Genomic DNA, 20,498 nt, shown 5'->3' with positions numbered 1-20,498 from the left:
CCAGACAACACCAAAGGCTCCATATCCAATAGGTCTATCCGGCTCAATATCCAGCTGCTGCTGTGGATGATGCGAGTGCTGATGATGGTGCGCCTTAACTGTAGCAGCTGCGGCAGCCTGTACCTGAGCTGGGGCTGCTGCAGCTGGTCCAGGAGCCTGCCCCGGTGCCGGTGATGGGAAATATGGCTGTTGTTGCCCAGGGTTTAACATGGCTGCAGCTGCAGCCGCTGCTGCGGCTGCCGCAGCTGCCGAAGAGGTGTGCTGCTGTACAGGGTGTACAGCGGCAGCCGACCCCGGATGAAGATGGTGTTGAGGGTGGTGGTGGTGGTGCAGGTGAGGAGGAGGGAGGTGTGGAAGGTGGTGGTGATGGTGGTGGTGGTGACCTGCTGCTGCTGCAGATGTACCGCCATTGTAAGCCGCCATCATTTTTGCGTTGGCTCTTGCGCCACAAAGAGACATTCAAAATAAATGCCCTTTGATTGGAAAGCAAACTGGGTCAAGCTGTCATTTGGCCATTTAAAAATGAAGAAAAACCACTCACTCCACCTCAAAAAACATAGAGCTTTATGTCTTCATCAGTCAATCCAAACAAGTTAGAGGATCTTGGTGTTTAATTTTGGGGTGAGCGTGTGTGGAAGGGTGTGGGTTGCCAAAAGGAAAAAAAAGGGAAAAAAGAAAAGAAAAAGGAAAAAAGGACCCCTTCCCCCCAGGATTCCTGCCACAAGTGGGTACTAAAACTCCATTCTTAATTTGGGGGAGGTTCCAACTTTGAATGTGGGAATAAAGGCCAAACCTCCCGACCCCCTGAACTCCACACACGAAAAGGATCAGGTAACACACCACCCTTGGAATCTTGAAAGAGGGTTGACTCATCTACCCCTTCCATTCCCACATCCTTTTCTAAACACCTACCACCTCCTCAAAAACAGGATTAAAAAAAATTCCCACCACCCTAAATGGAGAAGATGGGGGGAAATTTTCTGGGAAACCAGCTTCCAGCTTCCCCCCCCCCGAACTCTCAGGCCTTCCTACATCTCCCCCTACTCCTAGTCAGGTTGACCTGATTGGGGAGGGGGGGCGGGGGTTCCAAACTTTCCTGGGCAGAATAAGCCAGGGAAGGAGGCTGGAGTGAGGAGAGGAGGCGACAGCAGGACAGAGAGGAGAAAGAGAGCCGGGGCAAAAGTGAAGGGAAGGAGGTGCAGGGAGGAATGAAAGATGTGGGCAGCGCTCGGACGCCCAGACGGAGGGAACCGCCCCGGGAGAAGGTTAGGGTCCCGGGGCCAAAGAACAGGAGCCCCGGGAGGCGGGCGGGGTACGGTCGGAAGCGGGCTGACTCCTGCCCCCGCCGCCGGCTGCTTCTGCTGAGGAGGGTTGGGGGGGAGAGCGGGTGGGTCCCCCGCGCAACGGCCCCGCAGGGCTCAAGGCTGCTCCGTCTCCCCCCCTCCCCCCCACCCGGCTTCCGTCCCCGCGGCCGCTTTCTCCTCAGCCGCCGCGGCCGCCTTCTCCTCAGCCGCCGCCTCCTCAGCCGCCGGTTCCGCCGCGGCCGGACTCACCTCCCCTAGCAAAGCCGGATAGAGCGGAGCCAGCGTCGGACACGCGCAACCAGCCGCCGAGGCCCCGCCCCCGCCTTGCACGGACCGGCTGCCCTAGCCAATCCACGCCCACCTGTCCGCCACCGCCTCCAATCCTGGGCCAGGAGCTTCAGACAGGCGCACTGTTCGGCCAGTGGCAACAAGGTGTGGGTCTTCCGGGGAAATCCCGCCCCCGATCCGGGATGGGCAGATAGAAAGACCAATCAAAGGCAGAGTTTGGCTTGACCGACAAGGCTTAAAGCCAATTAAAAAGCAAAGATCTTTGTGACATTTTTCTTTCGCCTCTCTCCTCTTTTCTTCTTCTTCTTTTATTATTTATTTTTTTTTTTTTGGCAGGAGCAGGAAGCTGCGTGGTAATCCCGCCTGCAAAAGCTGGAAGAGAGGGGCGGAACGAAAGAACCAATCATGAGCCAGAGACAAAGAACAGAGTAACCAATCCTTGGGTTGAAAATGAAGTGGGATGGAACCTGGGCCAAATAGACACTTGAAAAAACAAATGGAAAAAAAAGGTTGATGTAAGTCCCACCCTTTAGATCTCCTATAGGACAGGATTGTGGAGAATTTGCTGTCATATCGAGACAACCTCTTCAAGGGGCGGGGCTTAGGGAAGGGGTGGGGTCTTAAAGTGGGCGGGACCTAGACGAAGAAGGCGGAGTCCAAATCATCACTGGTCCACTGATCCGAGATGTCCAATATCCCACTTAAGATGTAAAGTGTGGGGTAAAAAATAGGGGAAGAAAAAGGGAATGTTGAGCTTCAGAAACTCAAGGTCCAAGGTCACTCAACAAGAAGACAAAGGAAACTCAAAAGACTGACAGAAACTCAGTAGACTGACAGTTCGTAGTCTACGGCCGGTCCTCTCCATAGTTAATCCTGATCTTGGCAAAAAGAGGAGGAATCTCTGGCATTCAGAACTCCACTGTCGACAAATGATAAAGCTGTTGGTGCAAATTAAAACAAAAAAAGTAAACTTGACCACAAAAATAATAATTTTCCTCTATCTTTCTTTCTTAACAGGGTCACATTCTGTCACCCAGGCTAGACTGCAGTGGCACAGTCCTAGCTCACTGCAACCTCCAACTCCCGGCTCAAGCAATCTTCCCGCCTCAGCTTCCCGAGTAGCTGGGATTACAGATGTGCATCACCATGCCCGGCTGATTCTTTAATTTTTTAGAAACAGGGTCTTAATATGTTGCCCAGGTTGGTCTCAAATTCCTAGGCTCAAGAGATCCTCCCACCTCCCACCTTGGCCTCCCAAAGTGCTGAGATTACAGGCGTGAGCCACCGCCTCCAGCCTCTCCCATATTTTCTATCAAGTAAGTTTCTGTCATTGAAATCTTACTAAAATAGCATCTTTCCATCACTTCATTTATCTGAATTTACCCTTCCTTTAAAATGTGAAATAATAAGCTTACAGAACCTTATCCCTACTGAAACTGTATAGTTTACTCAAAAACTTGGAAGTCATCTTCGATCCCTCCTTTGCCTGTCCACATTGTCCCTTCCAATCTATCAGTCATCAAGTCTTCTTTTTTTTTTTTTTTTTTTTGAGACATGGTCTCTGTTGCCCAGGCTGGAGTGCAGTGGCATGATTACAGCCCACTGCAGCCTCCACCTCTTGGGCTCAGATGATCCTCCCACCTCAGCCTCCCAAGTAGGTGGGACTACAGGCACATGCCACCACACCTGGCTAATTTTTGTATTTTTTTGTAGAGATGGGGTTTTGCCATGTTGCCCAGGCTGAATCATCAAGTCTTAAACAATTTTAAATCCCCCTCACTTCTGCTACTTCCCAGTCACACAGCATTTACCCAAATTTACACCACTAACATCTTTAACCATTTCCCTGCCTGCAAGCTAGCTCTCCTTTGATCCATCCCCCTCTGGGGGCATAGTAAATTTTTAAAAATACAAATCTGAGACCAGGGGCAGTGGCTCACACCTGTAATCCCAGCACTTGGTGAGGCCAAGGTACGTGGATCCCTTGAGTTCAGAAGATCAGTCTGGGCAATGTGGCAAAACCCCGTGTCTACAAAAAATACAAAAATTAGTGGTACACATGTCTCTAGACCCAGCTACTGAAGAGGCTGAGGTGGGAGGATAGCTTGAGCCAGGGAGGTAGATGCTGTAGTGAGCTGAGATCCCACCAGTGCACTCCAGCCTGGGTGACAGTGAGATCCTGTCAAAAAAAAAAAAAGGCTGGCTGTACCCCTAAATAGCCTGGCATGATCTGGTTCCTGCCTACCTACCTCAAGGGTCTTATCTCTCCCTTCCACTCCACACTTCAGACATTCTGAACTTCCTGCAGCTCCTTGAATGCTTTCAAGCCTTCATGTATATCTTCAGCCCAAAACATTTCCCGCTCATCCTTCACTGCTCTAATTCATCCCTCAGGTCTTCGTGTAAATTTTACTTTTTTTCCTGGAAAGTTCTAACTCTGTTCTAGAGTATACGTTTCTGTTGTATATCTCCATGACACTGCCTCCCTCATATCGATATTTTAAGTGCTTGTTGAGTTTGACCGGGGACAGAGAGCTTGTCTGTCTCACTCAATGTTGTATGCCCAGTTCCTTAGGACAGTGCCTGAAAAAAAAGAAGACACTTGCTACAGATTTGCCTGAATTACTGAGTGCAGAAGTGGGTACAAACCCAAGCTCTGCCATTTACTTACTCTATAGTTTAGGCAACTTAACTAACCTTTCTCAATCTCAGTTGCCTCAACTGAAATAATACATGACTCATGAGGTCTATATGAGGGTTAAATGAGGTGATGTATTTAAACGTGCTTGGCAAATAGTGAAAATGCAATATAAATTCTCTTCAACACTCACCCTCATGTAATATTTGAGATGTTTCCAATTTTCCAATGCACAGCACTCTCCTCCAAAGTGTAGTTTCCTAAAAGCTTCTTAGATGTTCAGCAAATTATCTGGTTTCACCTCAGACCTACTGAATAAGAATTGGAGGAGGAGAGGAGGAATCTGTTTAACAAGCTCTCCAGGTCATTCTTACAAACGCTAGAGCTTAAGAAGCACAGGCCTAGAGTAAAGGAGCTTAGTCTTTGTAAACTTTCTTTTTCAGCGCTTAGTATAGTACTATAATAATACATAGAAAGTGCTTGATACATGTGAAATAAATAAATTAATCTAATCCACGAGAAAACAATTGTACATTAAGAGTTATTTATTCCTTCCACAAACATGTATTAAGCACCAATTATATCTAGGCATGGTGCTAACTTCAACTGTGGGGGAGAGGAGATAGATGTACAGATGCTTCTGGACTCATGATGAGTTTGTGTCCCTTCTTTTTTTCTTTTTGAGACGGAGTCTCGCTCTGTCGCTCAGGCTGGAGTGCAGTGGCGCAATCTCGGCTCACTGCAAGCTTCGCCTCCCAGGTTCATGCCATTCTCCTGCCTCAGCCTCCTGAGTAGCTGGGACTACAGGCGCCCGCCACCACGCCCAGCTAATTTTTTGTATTTTTAGTAGAGATGGGGTTTCACCATGTTAGCCGGGATGGTCTCGATTTCCTGACCTTGTGATCCGCCCGCCTCGACCTCCCAAAGTACTGGGATTACAGGCGTGAGCTACCGCGCCTGGCCGAGTTTGTGTCCCGATAAGCCCATCGTATGTTGAAAATGCATTTAATACCCTAACCTACTGAACATCGTAGCCTAACCTACCTTAACGTGCTCAGAACACTGACATTAGCCTACAGTTCTGCAAGATCATCTAGCACAGTCTATTTTATAATAAAATGTTGAATATCTCATAATTTATTGAATACTGTAGTGAAAATGAAAGGCTGAATGGTTGAGGCCGGGTGCAGTGGCTCACACCTGTAATCCCAGTACTTTGGGAGGCTGAGGCAGGCAGATCACGAGGTCAGGAGATAGAGACCATCCTGGCTAATGTGGTGAAACCTCGTCTCTACTAAAAATTCAAAACATTAGCCGGCCTGGGAGGCTGAGGCAGGAGAATGGCGTGAACCCAGGACGCGGAGCTTGCAGTGAGCCGAGATCACGTCACTGCACTTCAGCCTGGGCGACTGAGCCAGACTCTGTCTCAAAAAAAAAAAAAAAAAAAAAAAGCAGAGTGATTGAAAGGGGACTCAAAGTACACTTTCTACTGAATGGGCATCACTTTCAAATCATGGTAAACTAGAAAAATCATAAGTCAAACCATCCTAAGTCAGGGATCATCTGTATTAAAGTCTCTGCCCCCAGGAGCTCTAAGTCTCTCTGGTGCAAGAATTTCCAAAATGGTGTGTGCACACCATGGTGGGGGGTGCACAAAGTGACCCACTAGGCTCCTGGAAGAAATTAGTACAATTTCTATTTCATTTTTTAAATTTCATCTTTTAAAAATATCCATTTTGTCAATGTTTTATAATGTACATAATATTACAGAGTAGCACAAATGTATAACATTTATGAATAAATAAGAATACACAATTGAGGAGTTGTGCTCAAAAATTTATCAAAAACATTGGGAAATCATTGGTCTGATGATCATTTAATAATGTTCATGGTTTTAGACATGAAGTCCTTGCCCATGCCTATGTCCTGAATGGTATTGCCTAGGTTTTCTTCTAGGGTTTTTATGGTTTTAGGTCTAATGTTTAAGTCTTTAATCCATCTTGAATTAATTTTTGTATAAGCTGTAAGGAAGGATCCAGTTTCAGCTTTCTACATATAGCTAGCCAGTTTTCCCAGCACCATTTATTAAATAGGGAATCCTTTCCCCATTGCTTGTTTTTGTCAGGTTTGTCAAAGATCAGATGGTTGTAGATATGCGGCATTACTTCTGAGGGCTCTGTTCTGTTCCACTGGTCTATATCTCTGTTTTGGTACCAATACCATGCTGTTTTGGTTACTGTAGCCTTGTAATATAGTTTGAAGTCAGGTAGCGTGATGCCTCCAGCTTTGTTCTTTTGGCTTAGGATTGACTTGGCAATGCAGGCTCTTTTTTGGTTCCATATGAACTTTATAGTTTTTTCCAATTCTGTGAAGAAAGTCATTGGTAGCTTGTTGGGGGTGGCATTGAATCTATAAATTACCTTGGGCAGTATGGCCATTTTCATGATATTGATTCTTCCTACCCATGAGCATGGAATGTTCTTCCATTTGTTTGTATCCTCTTTTATTTCATAGAGCAGTGGTTTGTAGTTCTCCTTGAAGAGGTCCTTCACGTCGCTTGTAAGTTGGATTCCTAGGTATTTTATTCTCTTTGAAGCAATTGTGAATGGGAGTTCACTCATGATTTTGCTCTCTGTTTGTCTGTTATTGGTGTATAAGAATGCTTGTGATTTTTGCACACTGATTTTGTATCCTGAGACTTTGCTGAAGTTGCCTATTAGCTTAAGGAGGTTTTGGACTTCATGTCTAAAACACCAAAAGCAATGGCAACAAAAGCCAAAATTGACAAATGGGATCTAAATAAACTAAAGAGCTTCTGTACAGCAAAAGAAACTACCATCAGCGTGAACAGGTAACCTACAGAGTGGGAGAAAATTTTTGCAATCTACTCATCTGACAAAAGGCTAATATCCAGACTCTACAATGAACTCCAACAAATTTACAAGAAAAAAAACAGACAACCCCATCAAAAAGTGGGCAAAGGATATGAACAGACACTTCTCAAAAGAAGACATTTATGTAGCCAAAAGACACATGAAAAAATGCTTATCATCACTGGCCATCAGAGAAATGCAAATCAAAACCACAGTGAGATACCATCTCACACCAGTTAGAATGGCGATCATTAAAAAGTCAGGAAACAACAGGTTCTGGAGAGGCTGTGGGGAAATAGGAACACTTTTACACTGTTGATGGGACTGTAAACTAGTTCAACCATTGTGGAAGTCAGTGTGGCGATTCCTCAGGGATCTAGAACTCGAAATACCATTTGACCCAGCAATCCTATTACTCGGTATATACCCAAAGGATTATAAATCATGCTGCTATAAAGACACATGCACACATATGTTTATTGTGGCACTATTCACAATAGCAAAGACTTGGAACCAACCCAGATGTCCAACAGTGATAGACTGGATTAAGAAAATGTGGCACATATACACCATGGAATACTATGCAGCCGTAAAAAATGATGAGTTCATGTCCTTTGTAGGGACATGGATGAAGCTGGAAACCATCATTCTCAGCAAACTATCACAAGGACAAAAAACCAAACACCTCATGTTCTCACTCATAGGTGGGAATTGAACAATGAGAACACATGGACGCAGGAAGGGGAACATCACACACAGGGGCCTGTTGTGGGGTGGGGAGAGGGGGGAGGGATAGCATTTGGAGATATACCTAATGTTAAATGATGAGTTACTGGGTGCAGCACACCAACATGGCACATGTATACATATGTAACTAACCTGCACATTGTGTACATGTACCCTAAAACTTAAAGTATAATAAAAAAAAATAATGTTCATGATTTAGATCAGTGCTGTCCTAGAGAAATGTGAGAGCCACATATGAAATTTTGTGTTCTAGTAGTCACACTAAAAAGTTAAAAGAGGCCAGGTGTGATGGCTCACACCTGTAATCCCAGCAATTTGGGAGGCCAAGGTGGGAGGATCGCTTGAGCCCAAAGTTCAAGACCAGCCTGGGCAACATAGTGAAACCTCATCTCTATCAAAAAAAAAAAAAAAAAATTAGCCAGGCATGGTGGCATGTGCCTGTAGTCCCTGCAACTCAAGAGGCTGAAGTGGAAGGATCACCTGAACCCAGGGAGGTTGAGGCTGCAGTGAGCCATGATCATGCCACTGCACTTTAGCCTGAGCAGCAGAGTGAGACCTTATCTAAAAAAAAAAAAAAAAAAAAAGGAAAACAAAATTCACTAGCCACATGTGGCTAGTAGCTACTATATTAGACAGCCCAAATCTAGATCATGGGTTTGAATCCTTAATCTGTCCCTTACCAGCTATGTGACCTTGGGCAAGTTCCTTAACCTATCTTAGTGTGAAAAATTTCCTTGTCTGTAAAATAGAGAGGTTCCCTGACAGATGCAGTTGTGATAATTCAAAGAGACAATCCATGGAAAGCACATAGCCTGGGGCTTGCTAGCAGTAAGTGGGATGGTTATTATTAGTACAGGTATTACAATCGAAGGCAAAGTGTCCCAAGTGTCCAGTGGAGAAATCATCTTGGGCACCACTCAGTTCATGTCCCCAGCATTCCATCCACGTGGAGTGGCTGGCCCCTTAAACACATCACCAGACAGTACAATTTCCGGCCTTTTCCATTTTGTTCCATTTTCAGGAGCTGAGCATGAAGAACGAGAAGTCGGAAGTGAGTCAGCAGGATAGCACTTAGAGCCTAAAAAAGCAAGCAGGACATCAGAATGCATAAGCAGGAATATAATGTGCAGGAAGTGGGAGGTGATCTTCCCTTTCTTCCAAGAACTGGCTCACCCCATGAGTTGTCTGCAAAGACTTTGCAGAACTTGGGCCAGGCCCAGGAATATTAAAGGACTACAAAAGGAGCAACTCACATTCAACAGTGCTGGGTGCTCAACACCTGTTATCTCATGTGATCAATCGTCAATATGTCCCATTTTGCAAATGAAGAAACAGACTCGGGAAGTCAAGGTACCTTATCAAATCTCACACATCTCGTGAGTGACAAAGCTGGGGCTGGCCCACTTCCCACTGTAACCCACAGCTGGAGGGAAGGGGCAAAGAAGTGATGCTATGGAGTACCAGGAAGGACAGGCAGAGAATTCTTACCCTTTCAAGCCTGGCAGCCAGGGGCCTCCCTCACTGGGTGCATGATACTTTTTTAACATTTCTTACCCAAAACTGTTAGCAGAAGGCAAGAGGATCACCTCCGACCTTTTAGCACACACATTCCTCTGGGTCACACTACGTCCATTCTCTGTCTCCATGCTTCGGGCCTGGCTTATCTTTCTACCTCTTCTTCTACCCAAGTTCTACTCACTTTTAAGGCTTTGCTCTTGGAGCCTCAGATCTTCTTCTTTGTTGTCTTTTTTTTTTTTTTTGAGAACCTCGACCTCCCTGGGCTCAGGTGATCCTCTCACCTCAGCCTCCTGAGTAGCTGGGTCTACAGGCATGTGCCACCACAGCTGACTAATTTTTTTGTATTTTGTAGAGCTGGGGTTTTGCCTTGTTGCTCATTAGAATCTGCCTGCCTCAGCCTCCTAAAGTGCCAGGATTACAGGCATGAGCCACTGCACTGGGCTGTAGCCTCAGAACTTTCATGAAGCATTTTTCCTGATACAAGTCCCTCTGGATCTCTCTCTCCCCTGAAGAATTTAGACATTCAATGTCTGCAATATTTATTTGAAACATACACTCTTATTTATATAATCTTATTTATGTGATGCCGTGAAAAACTTTCTAGCTGTCTGACCTTGGGCACTAGACACTTGAGCATGCTTCCTCATCTGTTCAATGGGTATAATAACACCTATTTTGCAGTAGAAGGTAATATTGAGAAAATTAACTAAGGTCATATATTACTATATGAAATATCTAGCACAATGCCTGACACAGAGTGGCCACTTGGGATAGGTAGTTCCCTTCCTCACTTTTTTTTTCTTTTTAGAGAAACAGCCCAGGCTGTTCTCAAACTTCTGTGCTGAAGCAATCCTCCTGCCTCAGCCTTCCAAAGTCTTGGGATGACAACCATGAGCCACAATACCTGGCCTCTTTCCTCACTTCTGTGTGTTGCTTACTTGTCATTATTTTCCTGGTATCTCTATTTCCAGTGCTCTTCTGTTTGGGGAGTTGGTTGGGGAGATGAGATGTGATACTTTAATCTTAGTAAATTGTAAAATGCTTCTCCCATCTTCCTTCATCCATTTTTCTGAGCCCCTACAGTCCCTCCATCAGTTTCGTGACAGGGGATAAAGTCATCAATGCCAAAGCAAAGGTGGAGGCTCGATAAGAGAGAGTGGGAGCAAGGCTACAAACCTCATAGGCATTTGGTATTGCTGAAGGACAACGTGCATGTTCAGGATCAGCTACTGGAAGGTATAACAAGAGAAGCCAGACAAGACAGTGGAAGAATCAGTCAGGGAGCCAATAGCAACTAAGATAGAGACAGGACATGGCAACAAGCTGGGGACTGGGTGAGGCCAGACAAATCTAAGTTCACGTACCACCTGGTCCTTCTTCCCCTACAACTGGGCCTCTTCCCATCCTAACAACACAGGCTCTGAGCCCCAGGAGAATTCCCTTTGCATGTATCTCAGGATGTTGGCCTCATCTTACCCCTCTCCATTTTTCAGTCCCTGGATGGGTTATTTATCCCAGCTCCAAACCCCAGGACCAAACCTCAGCCCTGACCCATGTCCTTGGCCATGTGAGTCAGACGATGTCCCAAACTTCCTTCTTCCTAGATGAGTGGTGAACATTTTATCTTAAAGTTATTAAAAAAGAAAATTTTAAAATAGATTACAAAATTGTTATGCTTAACATTTGTAGGTGCCCTTTATTACTTTGGCTTCTTAAGCCTTAGTAAATGAAAGTATAACTCACATGCATTGGACACAGCAGTAAAATGAGGAATGTTTCATAATGTTATACAGACAATATTCTGTGGATCTATTTTCAGCTTAGAATCCAAATACAACAAGATACTTTTCATCAAAAGGGCAGCAATGAACCATACACAAAATTACCACCTATCCACCCCAATATACCACGTTACAGAGCTCAGCCTCCATGGCAGAATAAAGGTTGTCCTCGCTGAAAGTCCGCAGAGACAGTGGTCCCAGATTAGAGAGCCACAGCCTTAAATATTGATTGCTAGGGTTAGCAGGTGAAACCAAATTATCCAAGACTACAATGAGCATTATTTGGAAAAGACTAAGACAGTGGTGGTTTCCAGACTGTGCTTCACATTGGAATCACCTGAGGATATTCAAAAACTACTGATGCCTGGTTTCAGTGGTATGCTGGTAAATATTTTAAGAATTGGCTGTTTAGAAAGAAAAGAAAGCCCTGATTTATATCCATGGCATAAAAACTTCTATCATGGTTAATTTCTTTCTTTCTTTCTTTTTTTTTTTGAGACAGAGTCACACTCTGTTGCCTAGGCTGGAGTGCAATGGCACGATCTCGGCTCACTGCAACCTCTGCCTCTCGGGTTGAAGCAATTCTCCTGCCTCAGCCTTCTAAGTAGCTGGGATTACAGGTGTGTGCCACCACGCCCAGCTAATTTTTTTTTTTTTTTGTAAGTAGAGACGGGGTTTCACCCTGTTGGCTAGCCTGGTCTCGAACTCCTGACCTCAGGTGATCCACCCAGCTTGGCCTCCCAAAGTGCTGAGATTACAGGCATGAGCCACCGCGTCCAGCCATGGTTAATTTCAAGCTGCTAGTATGACATCATTGAAGACAGAATGGGGAAGAGATGTACACAATAGGTTCTCCAGAACCAGGTAGCAGCCAGCTTTAGCACACCACTGCCTGGTCACCCCCACGCCTCCCACACAACTTAGTAGGTATGAGGTGTGACCTAGGCATCAGGATTTTTAAAAGCTCCCCAGTAGATTCTAATATGCAGCAAAGTTGGGAACCACTGGGCTAATGGGCCTTGTAATAAGGTCCCAGAGGCAAGAAACCGGCCAGTTGATTGCCTTCCAGTGACAGCTGGATTGTAACACTTGCCTCCTCAAATACACTTTCTTCCCCTAGCAAGCCTCCATGGAAAGCTAAATCCTCAGCAGAAGGTTGCTCAGTGGGCTGGTCTCAGAGCATGGGGCAGGGGTGGGAGGTCCGGAGGCTGGTGAGAGATCTGAAAAGCTAGGGGCGATGTGTCAATGTAATTGTCCACTAGAAATTCCTGGGGGTGCTAGAAACACTGATAAATTTCTGCTCCAGGACATTCCTCCAGGGATGTCATTATCCTTCCATTAAAACTGTATTCTGACTGGGTGGTAAGTACCTGATTTGCTTAATTCTTAATTGTTATACCTTTAGCTCTGCTGACTGAGCTCTAGTGATTTGGGTTGAAGTGTACCTAAGGCTGCAGGGCAGGTAGGAGAGGAATGAATTTTTTCTGCAGATGGCTGGCCAGGCCCCACCTCTGGGTTACTGCAGTCACTCTGCTTTTGTCTGTCATGGTACTTGTCACCTGGCCTTGCAAATGTTTACTCATCTGTTGCCTTTAATGCTCTACAAGCTCCCCAAGGGCAGAGACTTGGCTCCTATTTTGCTAGGCGTCCCCAGTGCCCAGTGTTGGTTTAAGCTGACGTAAACTGAGCTCTTCCATCCATTATAAAGTATTTTAAATTTACTTTTAGAAACACAAGTAGGCCGAGTGAGGTGGCTCATGCTTGTAATCCCAGTACTTTGGGACAGGAGGATTGCTTGAGCCCAGGAGTTTGAGATCAGCCTAGGCAACATGGCAAGACCTCGTCTCTACAAATAATAATAAAAACAAAATTAGCTGGGCATGGTGGTGGGCACCTGTAGTCTCAGCTACTCTGGAGGCTGAGGCAAGAGAATAGCTTGAGCCCAGGAGGTCAAGGCTGCAGTGAGCTGTGATTGCACCACTGCCCTCCAGCCTGTGTGACAGAGCAAGACCCTGTCTCAAAATAAATAAAATAAAATAAAATCACAAGTAATTCATGAAAAGATTCTTGGCATTTGCACACACACATGCACATTTTAAAATGTATGGTTCTCGGCTGGGTGCTGTGGCTTGCACCTGTAATCCCAGCACTTTGGGAGGCTGAGGTGGGCAGATTGCTGGAGCTCAGGAATTCTATATCAGCCTGGTCAACATAATGAAACCCTGTCTCTACAAAAAATACAAAAATTAGCTGGGTGTGGTGGCACACATCCGTAGTCCCAGCTACTTGGGAGGCTGAGGCACGAGAATCACTTGAACCCAGGAGGCGGAGGTTGCAGTGAGCTGAGATCATGCCACTGCACTCCAGCCTGGATGACAGAGCAAGACTCTGTCTCAAGAAAAAAAAAAGCATGGTTCTATTTTTTGTGTTTTCAAAATACATGCTATTATACTATACACATAGTTCTATAAAATGCTTTTTCACTTAACAATATGTTATGAGGATATTTTCATAATCTATTTATTAATGTGCTTTGTTCTTTTCATAATGCTGAATTTGAAAGGTGACCTTGAGACAGGATTTAAGTGTGATTACTTTATGTGGGAGGTGATCCCAGAAAATAGGGTAATGGGGAAGTGAGACAGGGAAGGGAAGGAAGCCAATAAAGGGTGTTTTTCAAAGCAAGTCATCACTGTATGTAAAACCAGAGCTCAACTCCATGGGGAAACTGGGAGCCAATGTAGCACACAACTGTCCAACACTTCTACCTAAAGAGAGCTGGAGTATTTATCCACTGACTTCCATCTGCCATTGATCAAGGGCTACTTCAGAGGCACATTGACTCAGGGACTTTTGGCCTGCCTTGCATCTGGGCAGAGAGGGCTCTGGTGGCCAGAAAAAGCCTTCAGTCAAGGAGATGCTTGTGCTATCAATTGGAAGTCAGTTGACACACACAGACATGGTAAGTGCTAGGTCATATGGGTGGGGAACTGATAGGATCCGCTCCAAAACAGATGTGACTTTGTGCCTTACTTCATTAAATCCTTTCTCATTTCTCATTTTTTTTTTACAAGCAACTCTTCAATAAGTATTCCCATCCATGTTTCCTTATGCAGGGGTACAATTTTTTTTTTTTTTTAAGAGACAGCTCTAGCTCTATGGCCCAGGCTGAGGTGCAGTGGCACTATCCTTGCTCACTATAGACTCAACTCCCTGGGCTCAAGTAATCCTCCAGCCCCAGCCTCCTGAGCAGCTGGGACTTTGGGCACATGCCACCACACCTGGGTAATTTTTTCTTGTTGAGAGGGAGTCTCGCTCTGTTGCCCAGGCTGGGGTGCAGTGGAACGATCTCGGCTCACTGAAACCTCCGCCTCCTGGGTTCAAGTGATTCTCCTGCCTCAGCCTCCTGAGTAGCTGGGACTACAGGTGCATGCCACCATGTCTGGCTAATTTTTTGTATTTTTAGTAGAGACGGTGTTTCACTGTGTTAGCCAGGATGGTCTCTATCTCCTGACCTTGTGATCCACCCGCCTCGGCCTCCCAAAGTGCTGGGATTACAGGCATAAGCCATCACGCTGGGCCCACCTGGGAAATTTTTAAAAGTTTTTTGTAGAGACAGAGTCTCACTGTGTTGTCCAGGCTGGTCTTGAACTCCTGGGCTCAGGCAATCCTCCAGCCTTGGCCTTCCTAAGTGTTGAGATTGCAGGCATGAGCCACCATGCCTGGCCCAGTATTTCTTTAGGATACATGCCTACAATGGGTCCATCCATTACACAATATTTCTGTTTAATTTTACTCTCCTGGACTGGGAAATGCCTACTGTAACCTCAGAACTCTGGGCTGCCAGAGTGTGCATATCCTCTCTTGCTAAAGCCTTCAGTCTTGCCCTTTCAGGAATCCTTTCAAGATAGAAGATAGGAGAGCATTTAATGACTTTCCTACTGCCCTATATGAGATTCTCATGGCCTCATTAATTCTCTCCATTGACTATCCCTGTGACTTTACTCTTGTCTCCTGCCTTCAAAACCTGTTGTTGATATGTTCAGATTTTAAGCAGTAGTCTAGCAATAAAAATCAAATCTTGGAACAATGCATTTCTTCTATTTGGTCAGACATTTTACCTCTGTTTACCTGCGTAGGCCATCATTTCCAAATAAAGAGCACATGTGCACAACCTGAGACCGGGTCTGTGCAAGTCTTTCTTTACAGTTGCTAGTACAAGGACACAACTAGGAATTTATTTAAAAAATTTTCAATGCAAAATTTTTTATTTTTAAAATCAACTTTATTGAGCTGTAATTTAATCCAATAAATATTTTAAGTTCCATGAGCTGTGGATTCTTTTTTGTTCGTTTGTCTTTATAGATACGAGGTCTCCCTTGCCATGTTACCCAGGCTGATCTCGAACTCCTGGGCTCAATTGATCTTCCAGCTGCAGCCTCCCAAAGTGTTGGATTTATAGGTGTGAGCCACCACACCAGGCTGGCATTGGTTTTTAAATTTTATTTTCCAGTAGTTCATTGCTGGTATATGGAAACACACTTGATTTTTTTTGCAGGCTTGCTAAATCCATTTATTCTAGTAGCTTTTTTCTAGGTTCTTGAGGATTCTCTAATCTTATTAATCTATAAATAAAAACAGTTTTATGTCTTCCTTTCCAACATTTAGGCCTTTTATTTATTTTTCTTGACTTATTACACTGTCTAGGACCTCCAATGAATAGTTGAATAAAAGTGATGAGAGCAAAACTTCCTTGCCTTGTTCCCAATCTTAGGAAACAGTCTTCTACCGTTCAGTCTTTCAGCATTCAGAATAATGTTATTGGTAGGTTTTTCATAGATGGTATTTATCAACTTTAAGAAGCCCCCCTTTAGTTTTAACCTGCAAGTACTTTTGGTTCCAGTGGTTTATATTTCACCATGCTAAAAGACAGTGTGACTCTAGGTCTTGTTCTCTTTTCCGTAGTGATGTTATATAGAAAGCATGGTTCCAGATTCAAATAGACTTGAACTCTGTCAGTTTCCAGCTATGTGATCTTGTTCTGGTTCTCTATCTTCTACATCAATTTCCTCACTCATAAAATAAGGATAGCTAGTTTTGAAGGTTATTGTGAATGATATTTGGTTTGCTTGCATGTGTCTGACACATGTTAGACACTCAAAAAATATTCTCTCTCTCCTCTTGCTTTTTTTTAGTAATACGCTTTTCACTTTATAATGACATTTATAATGTCTGGACTGGGTGCAGTAGCACATGCCTGTAATCCAAGCACTTTGGAATGCTGAATGGGAGGATCACTTGAGGCCAGGAGTTCAAGACCAGCCTGGGCAACATAAAGAGACCCCCAACTCTACCAAAAAATAAAACCAAAAAGTAAGCAATGCATGGTGGCATGAACCTGTTGTCCTAGCTACTCAGAAGGCTAAGGTGGGAGGATCACTTAAGCCTAAAAGTTTGAACTTACAGTGAGCTATGATCATGCCACTGCTCTCTAGCATGGGCAACAGAGTGAGACCCTGTTTCTCTAAATGATGATAACAATAATAATGTCTGCCCAAATGTTCACAATAGGGCTTTTTAATGTGGGTATTGGTAACACACGAAGGTCAGGATCTCATCTATGAATGACAGCTTCTCCATGGGTTGCAATAACTTGTGGCATCCAATCAGGCACTTCCCTCTGCTAACTGCAGGTTCCATAATTATTCCCAGGCTAAGACTTCTTGGGATTAACATGTTGTTCCAACCACTACAAAAACAAATGTACTGTTCCAAACGATACTTAATTATATCACGTTCACTGCTTTTTTTTATTTTTTTATTTTTTCTGAGACAGAGTCTTGCTCTGTCACCCAGGCTGGAGTGTAGTGGCGCCATCTCGGCTCACTGCAACCTCTGCCTGCTGGGTTCAAGCAATTCTCCTGCCTCAGCCTCCCAAGTAGCTGGGACTACAGGTGCGTGCCACCATGCCTGGCTAATTTTTTGTATCTTTAGTACAGACAGGGTTTCACCATGCTGGCCAGGCTGGTCTCGAACACCTGACCTCATGATCCTCCTGCCTTGGCCTCCCAAAGTGCTGGGATTACAGGCATGAGCCACCACGCCCAGCTCCCACTGCTTTTAATAGCATATCCAGAAAGAATGATTCACAAGTCTTTGGGCCATCTCAGATGTGCAGAGAACCTGTATTGTTAGTCCATATTTTACCTTCTTAGGCCTGGAATTCTCCAGCTCTGAACATAGCAGGAGTTAAGGATACCAGGCCAAAAAGTGTAGAAATGATGTTATAACTCCCAGAGCAGTGATTTCAAATGCCAGCCCTAGAGCAAGTGCCTGATGAAGTGTTTTGCACAAACCTTGTTAGAACAGGAAATATTAGGATGATTTGTGAGTTCTTCGTAAAGCTAAATGTACTGTCCCTTCTTCTGAGATTCTATTTCTCCTACCTTCTTGGTGTCGAAATGCCCCTATATTGTTATTTGATGATGATGATGATGATGATGATTTACTATCCTTACATGGTATAATAAGTTAGCAAACTTATTTCAATATGCTACACATCACCAATTTTTTAAAAGCTACTGACCTGAGTATATAGCAGAGTATATTTTCCAGTATGCCTTGATTTGTGCCATGGTAACAGATCAACTATCATCATTATTACTCAGGGAAACTATGGACTTGTTTGGAGTCACTTCAGAATTCTAGCCTCCATCCTACAACCAGGGGTTGTTGGCCTCCATGACAGAGAGCTGTTAGGTACTGGGTGCAGAAGATTCATGCTGCTCCAGTGGATTGAGGTCAGCTTCACCTAACCTAAAAAAAAATATATAGTTATATATTTTGTGTCTCTAAACATGGGGAAGTTTTGGATATGCTGAAAAATATATAAAAATTGATAAATACCAAGATAAGGGCCCATATCAACATGTTGACTAGTTTGAGGGAACCCAGGATTTGTGAGAAACCTCATGTAGGGCACAGAGACAGAATCATGAGTGAGAAGAACGTGGCTGAGGCTTAACCATATAAGTCTCGTTTTCATCGCCGTTAAGTGGAAATGATCACCCTGTCTTGCCTCTCTGGAGTGTTTGCTTGCAGATTGAATGATAATGGATAGGAGAGTGCTTTGCAAACTACAGCATCCCCAGACAAATTTAAGAAATGACTCTCTTTTACTTTGTTGACAATTTAGAAGGCAATATTTCTAGACACGTGACATCGCTCCAGGCAATCCCTTCACTGAGAAGAGATGATGAAAATGTACATGGCCTGCAGGCTAAATACTGTCAGAACATGTTATCACCAAATAAATCTGGACAATTCTATTTTTTTTTTTTTGAGACAGGGTCTCACTCTGTCACCCAGACTGGAATACAGTGGCGTGATCTCGGTTCACTGCAACCTCTGCCTCCCAGGCTCAAGCGATTCTCCTGCCTCAGCCTCCCAAGTAGCTGGGACTACAGGTGTGCACCACCATGCCTGGCTAATTTTTGTATTTTTAGTAGAGATGGGGTTTTGCCATGTTGGCCAGGCTGGTCCTGAACTCCTGACCTCAGGTGATCTGCCTGCCTCGGCCCCCGAAATGCTGGGATTACAGGAGTGAACCACTGCATCTGGCTCGACAATCCTATTTTTAATGCCATATTCCCAAACCTAGTAACGAGGCAGAGAGCCTCCATTCTAGCGGGCTGCGGGATGCAAAGTCGGGTCTGAAGTACATGAAAGGACAGCCAGGAGCTGTGTCAGTTGCTCATGCCGCCATGTTCTGGGTAAATATCTCAGACAGCATTTGGGCTGCATGATATACTGGTGTAAATTCAGAAGCAGACTCTAGCACTAGCAATATCTTCAACTGACAATAAATTATTTTCATTGCCCTAAGGTCCATGTTGTTGGAATGCACTCAGATTATAGTCCATTACTGAGTAATAACAGTTGTCATTTGTTGAGTGCTACCTATGCAGAGGGACAATTTTAAGTGTTTTAATATATTATCTTATTTAATTCTCTTAGCAACCCTATGAGGATGGTACCTTCTTTGTCTTTTTTTTTTTTTTTTTTTTGAGACAGAGTTTCACTCTTGTTGCCCAGGCTAGAGTGCAATGGAACAATCTAGCTCACTGCAACCTACACCCCCACCAGGTTCAAGTGATTCTCCTGCCTCAGCCTCCCGAGTAGCTGGGATTACAGGCATGAGCCACCATGCCTGGCTAATTTTGTATTTTTAGTAGAGATGGGGGTTTCACCATGTTGGTCAGGCTGGTCTTGAACTCCCGACCTCAGGTGATCCGCCTGCCTCGGCCTCCCAAAGTGCTGAGATTACAGGTGTGAGCCGCCGCACCCGGCCAGTCTTCATTTTTAAGATAAGGAAACTGAGGCATACAGAACTGAGTACTTTATCCAAGGTCATGATTAATTAGTGGCAGAGACTGAATTGGGCCAAGGCAGCCTCACCCAGGTGTAACCTATATTGCTTTTCTATTTTTATTAAACATGTACTCTTTTCTAGGCACTGGACTAGTCAACTACAGGAATTGATAAAATAAAATCTAGGACCTCAAAAAGCACTCAGTCTAGTGGGGAGGAGTTACAACATAATGTAGGAAGTACTGCATATTTATCCCTCTGATGCAGATTTATTTTTCTCCAAAGCATCCTTTATTGCCAACTAGCAAACTACATATTTACATCCTTGTTTTTTTAATTTTCTGTCTTCCTTTACTCAAACTATAAACTCTATGAGGGCAGGGTCTTCATTTTGTTCACTTTATATCCTAGTATCTAGAGATGTGTCTGGCAAGTAAATTTGTAGAAGCTGCGTTCAAGGAACAGGAGTGGAAATTAAATAAAAATGAACAAAAGATGTCACAAAATATCACAGGATTCTTCCTCAGTAATCTGGACTGACCAAATCTTCATGCAATGGAGTATGCTGAAAGCTTCAGGGAGAAGAAAGGGCATCAGCTAGAACTCCGGTAGTGAAGCTGCCCTTTAGATGTCCTGGAGTTATTTTGGGTGTATGTACCTTTACACTCCAGTCATCCCCCCACCTCCCACATCCTCTCCAACCACACCGAACAGGTTGTTGTTTTCTACAAATTGATATACCTTCACGCATTCTGTTCCCCTTCCCAGAGGACCTTTCTCCTGTGCCCCCTTCTACCTTCACTTCCTTTCTGCTTTGCCACCTCAATTGTATCCTTCAAAACTCAAATCAGCTGTCACTTCCTCATTGCGATGACCCACCTCTGTGCTCCCATATCACCCTCTACAATCATCCAGTGCTAAAAATCACTGTTTTATTTGTCTCTGCCCTACACTGAAGACTTCTTGAGAGCAGAGTCCA

General features: G+C 44.3%; 1 protein-coding gene and 1 long non-coding RNA gene across 5 annotated transcripts in view, besides 4 other annotated features; one reads left to right on the top strand and one right to left on the bottom strand.

Annotated features, from left to right (window-relative positions):
• The window catches only part of NLK (nemo like kinase), a 163,398-nt gene extending 162,742 nt beyond the window's left edge, over nt 1–656 (bottom strand). For all 4 annotated transcript variants that reach the window (XR_934482.2, XR_001752526.3, NM_016231.5 and 1 more), the window contains exon 1: nt 2–656. Coding sequence is in view for 2 of the 4 variants with exons in the window: in NM_016231.5 (NP_057315.3) it covers nt 2–459 (458 nt within the window). In the remaining 2 variants the exon portion in view is untranslated. The remainder of the gene's footprint in view (nt 1) is intronic.
• Nucleotides 1,269–1,498: a silencer, noted in NCBI's record as "silent region_8333". NCBI's record gives its function as "represses an Ori minimal core promoter by ATAC-STARR-seq in GM12878 lymphoblastoid cells {active_cell/tissue: GM12878}" and the evidence as "EXISTENCE:reporter gene assay evidence [ECO:0000049][PMID:35858748]".
• Nucleotides 1,519–1,748: a silencer, noted in NCBI's record as "silent region_8332". NCBI's record gives its function as "represses an Ori minimal core promoter by ATAC-STARR-seq in GM12878 lymphoblastoid cells {active_cell/tissue: GM12878}" and the evidence as "EXISTENCE:reporter gene assay evidence [ECO:0000049][PMID:35858748]".
• LOC105371709 (uncharacterized) lies at nt 1,613–9,193 on the top strand. Its single transcript, XR_934637.4, has 3 exons — nt 1,613–1,736; nt 1,929–2,107; nt 8,872–9,193. It is a non-coding gene; the product is annotated as an uncharacterized LOC105371709 (long non-coding RNA).
• Nucleotides 1,916–2,210: an enhancer, noted in NCBI's record as "tiled region #3957; HepG2 Activating DNase unmatched - State 4:PromP, and K562 Activating DNase matched - State 1:Tss". NCBI's record gives its function as "activates a minimal TATA promoter and a strong SV40 promoter by Sharpr-MPRA in HepG2 and K562 cells {active_cell/tissue: HepG2 | K562}" and the evidence as "EXISTENCE:reporter gene assay evidence [ECO:0000049][PMID:27701403]".
• Nucleotides 8,519–9,718: an enhancer, noted in NCBI's record as "MED14-independent group 3 enhancer chr17:26360641-26361840 (GRCh37/hg19 assembly coordinates)". NCBI's record gives its function as "activates an origin of replication core promoter dependent on BRD2, BRD4, P300/CBP and CDK7 cofactors, and independent of MED14, by STARR-seq in HCT116 cells {active_cell/tissue: HCT116}" and the evidence as "EXISTENCE:reporter gene assay evidence [ECO:0000049][PMID:35650434]".

Source organism: Homo sapiens, chromosome 17 (genome assembly GCF_000001405.40).
Source record: "Homo sapiens chromosome 17, GRCh38.p14 Primary Assembly".
NCBI lineage: Eukaryota > Metazoa > Chordata > Mammalia > Primates > Hominidae > Homo > Homo sapiens.
Note: the sequence above shows the minus strand (reverse complement) of the source record. Positions and strands in the feature narration are given on the sequence as shown.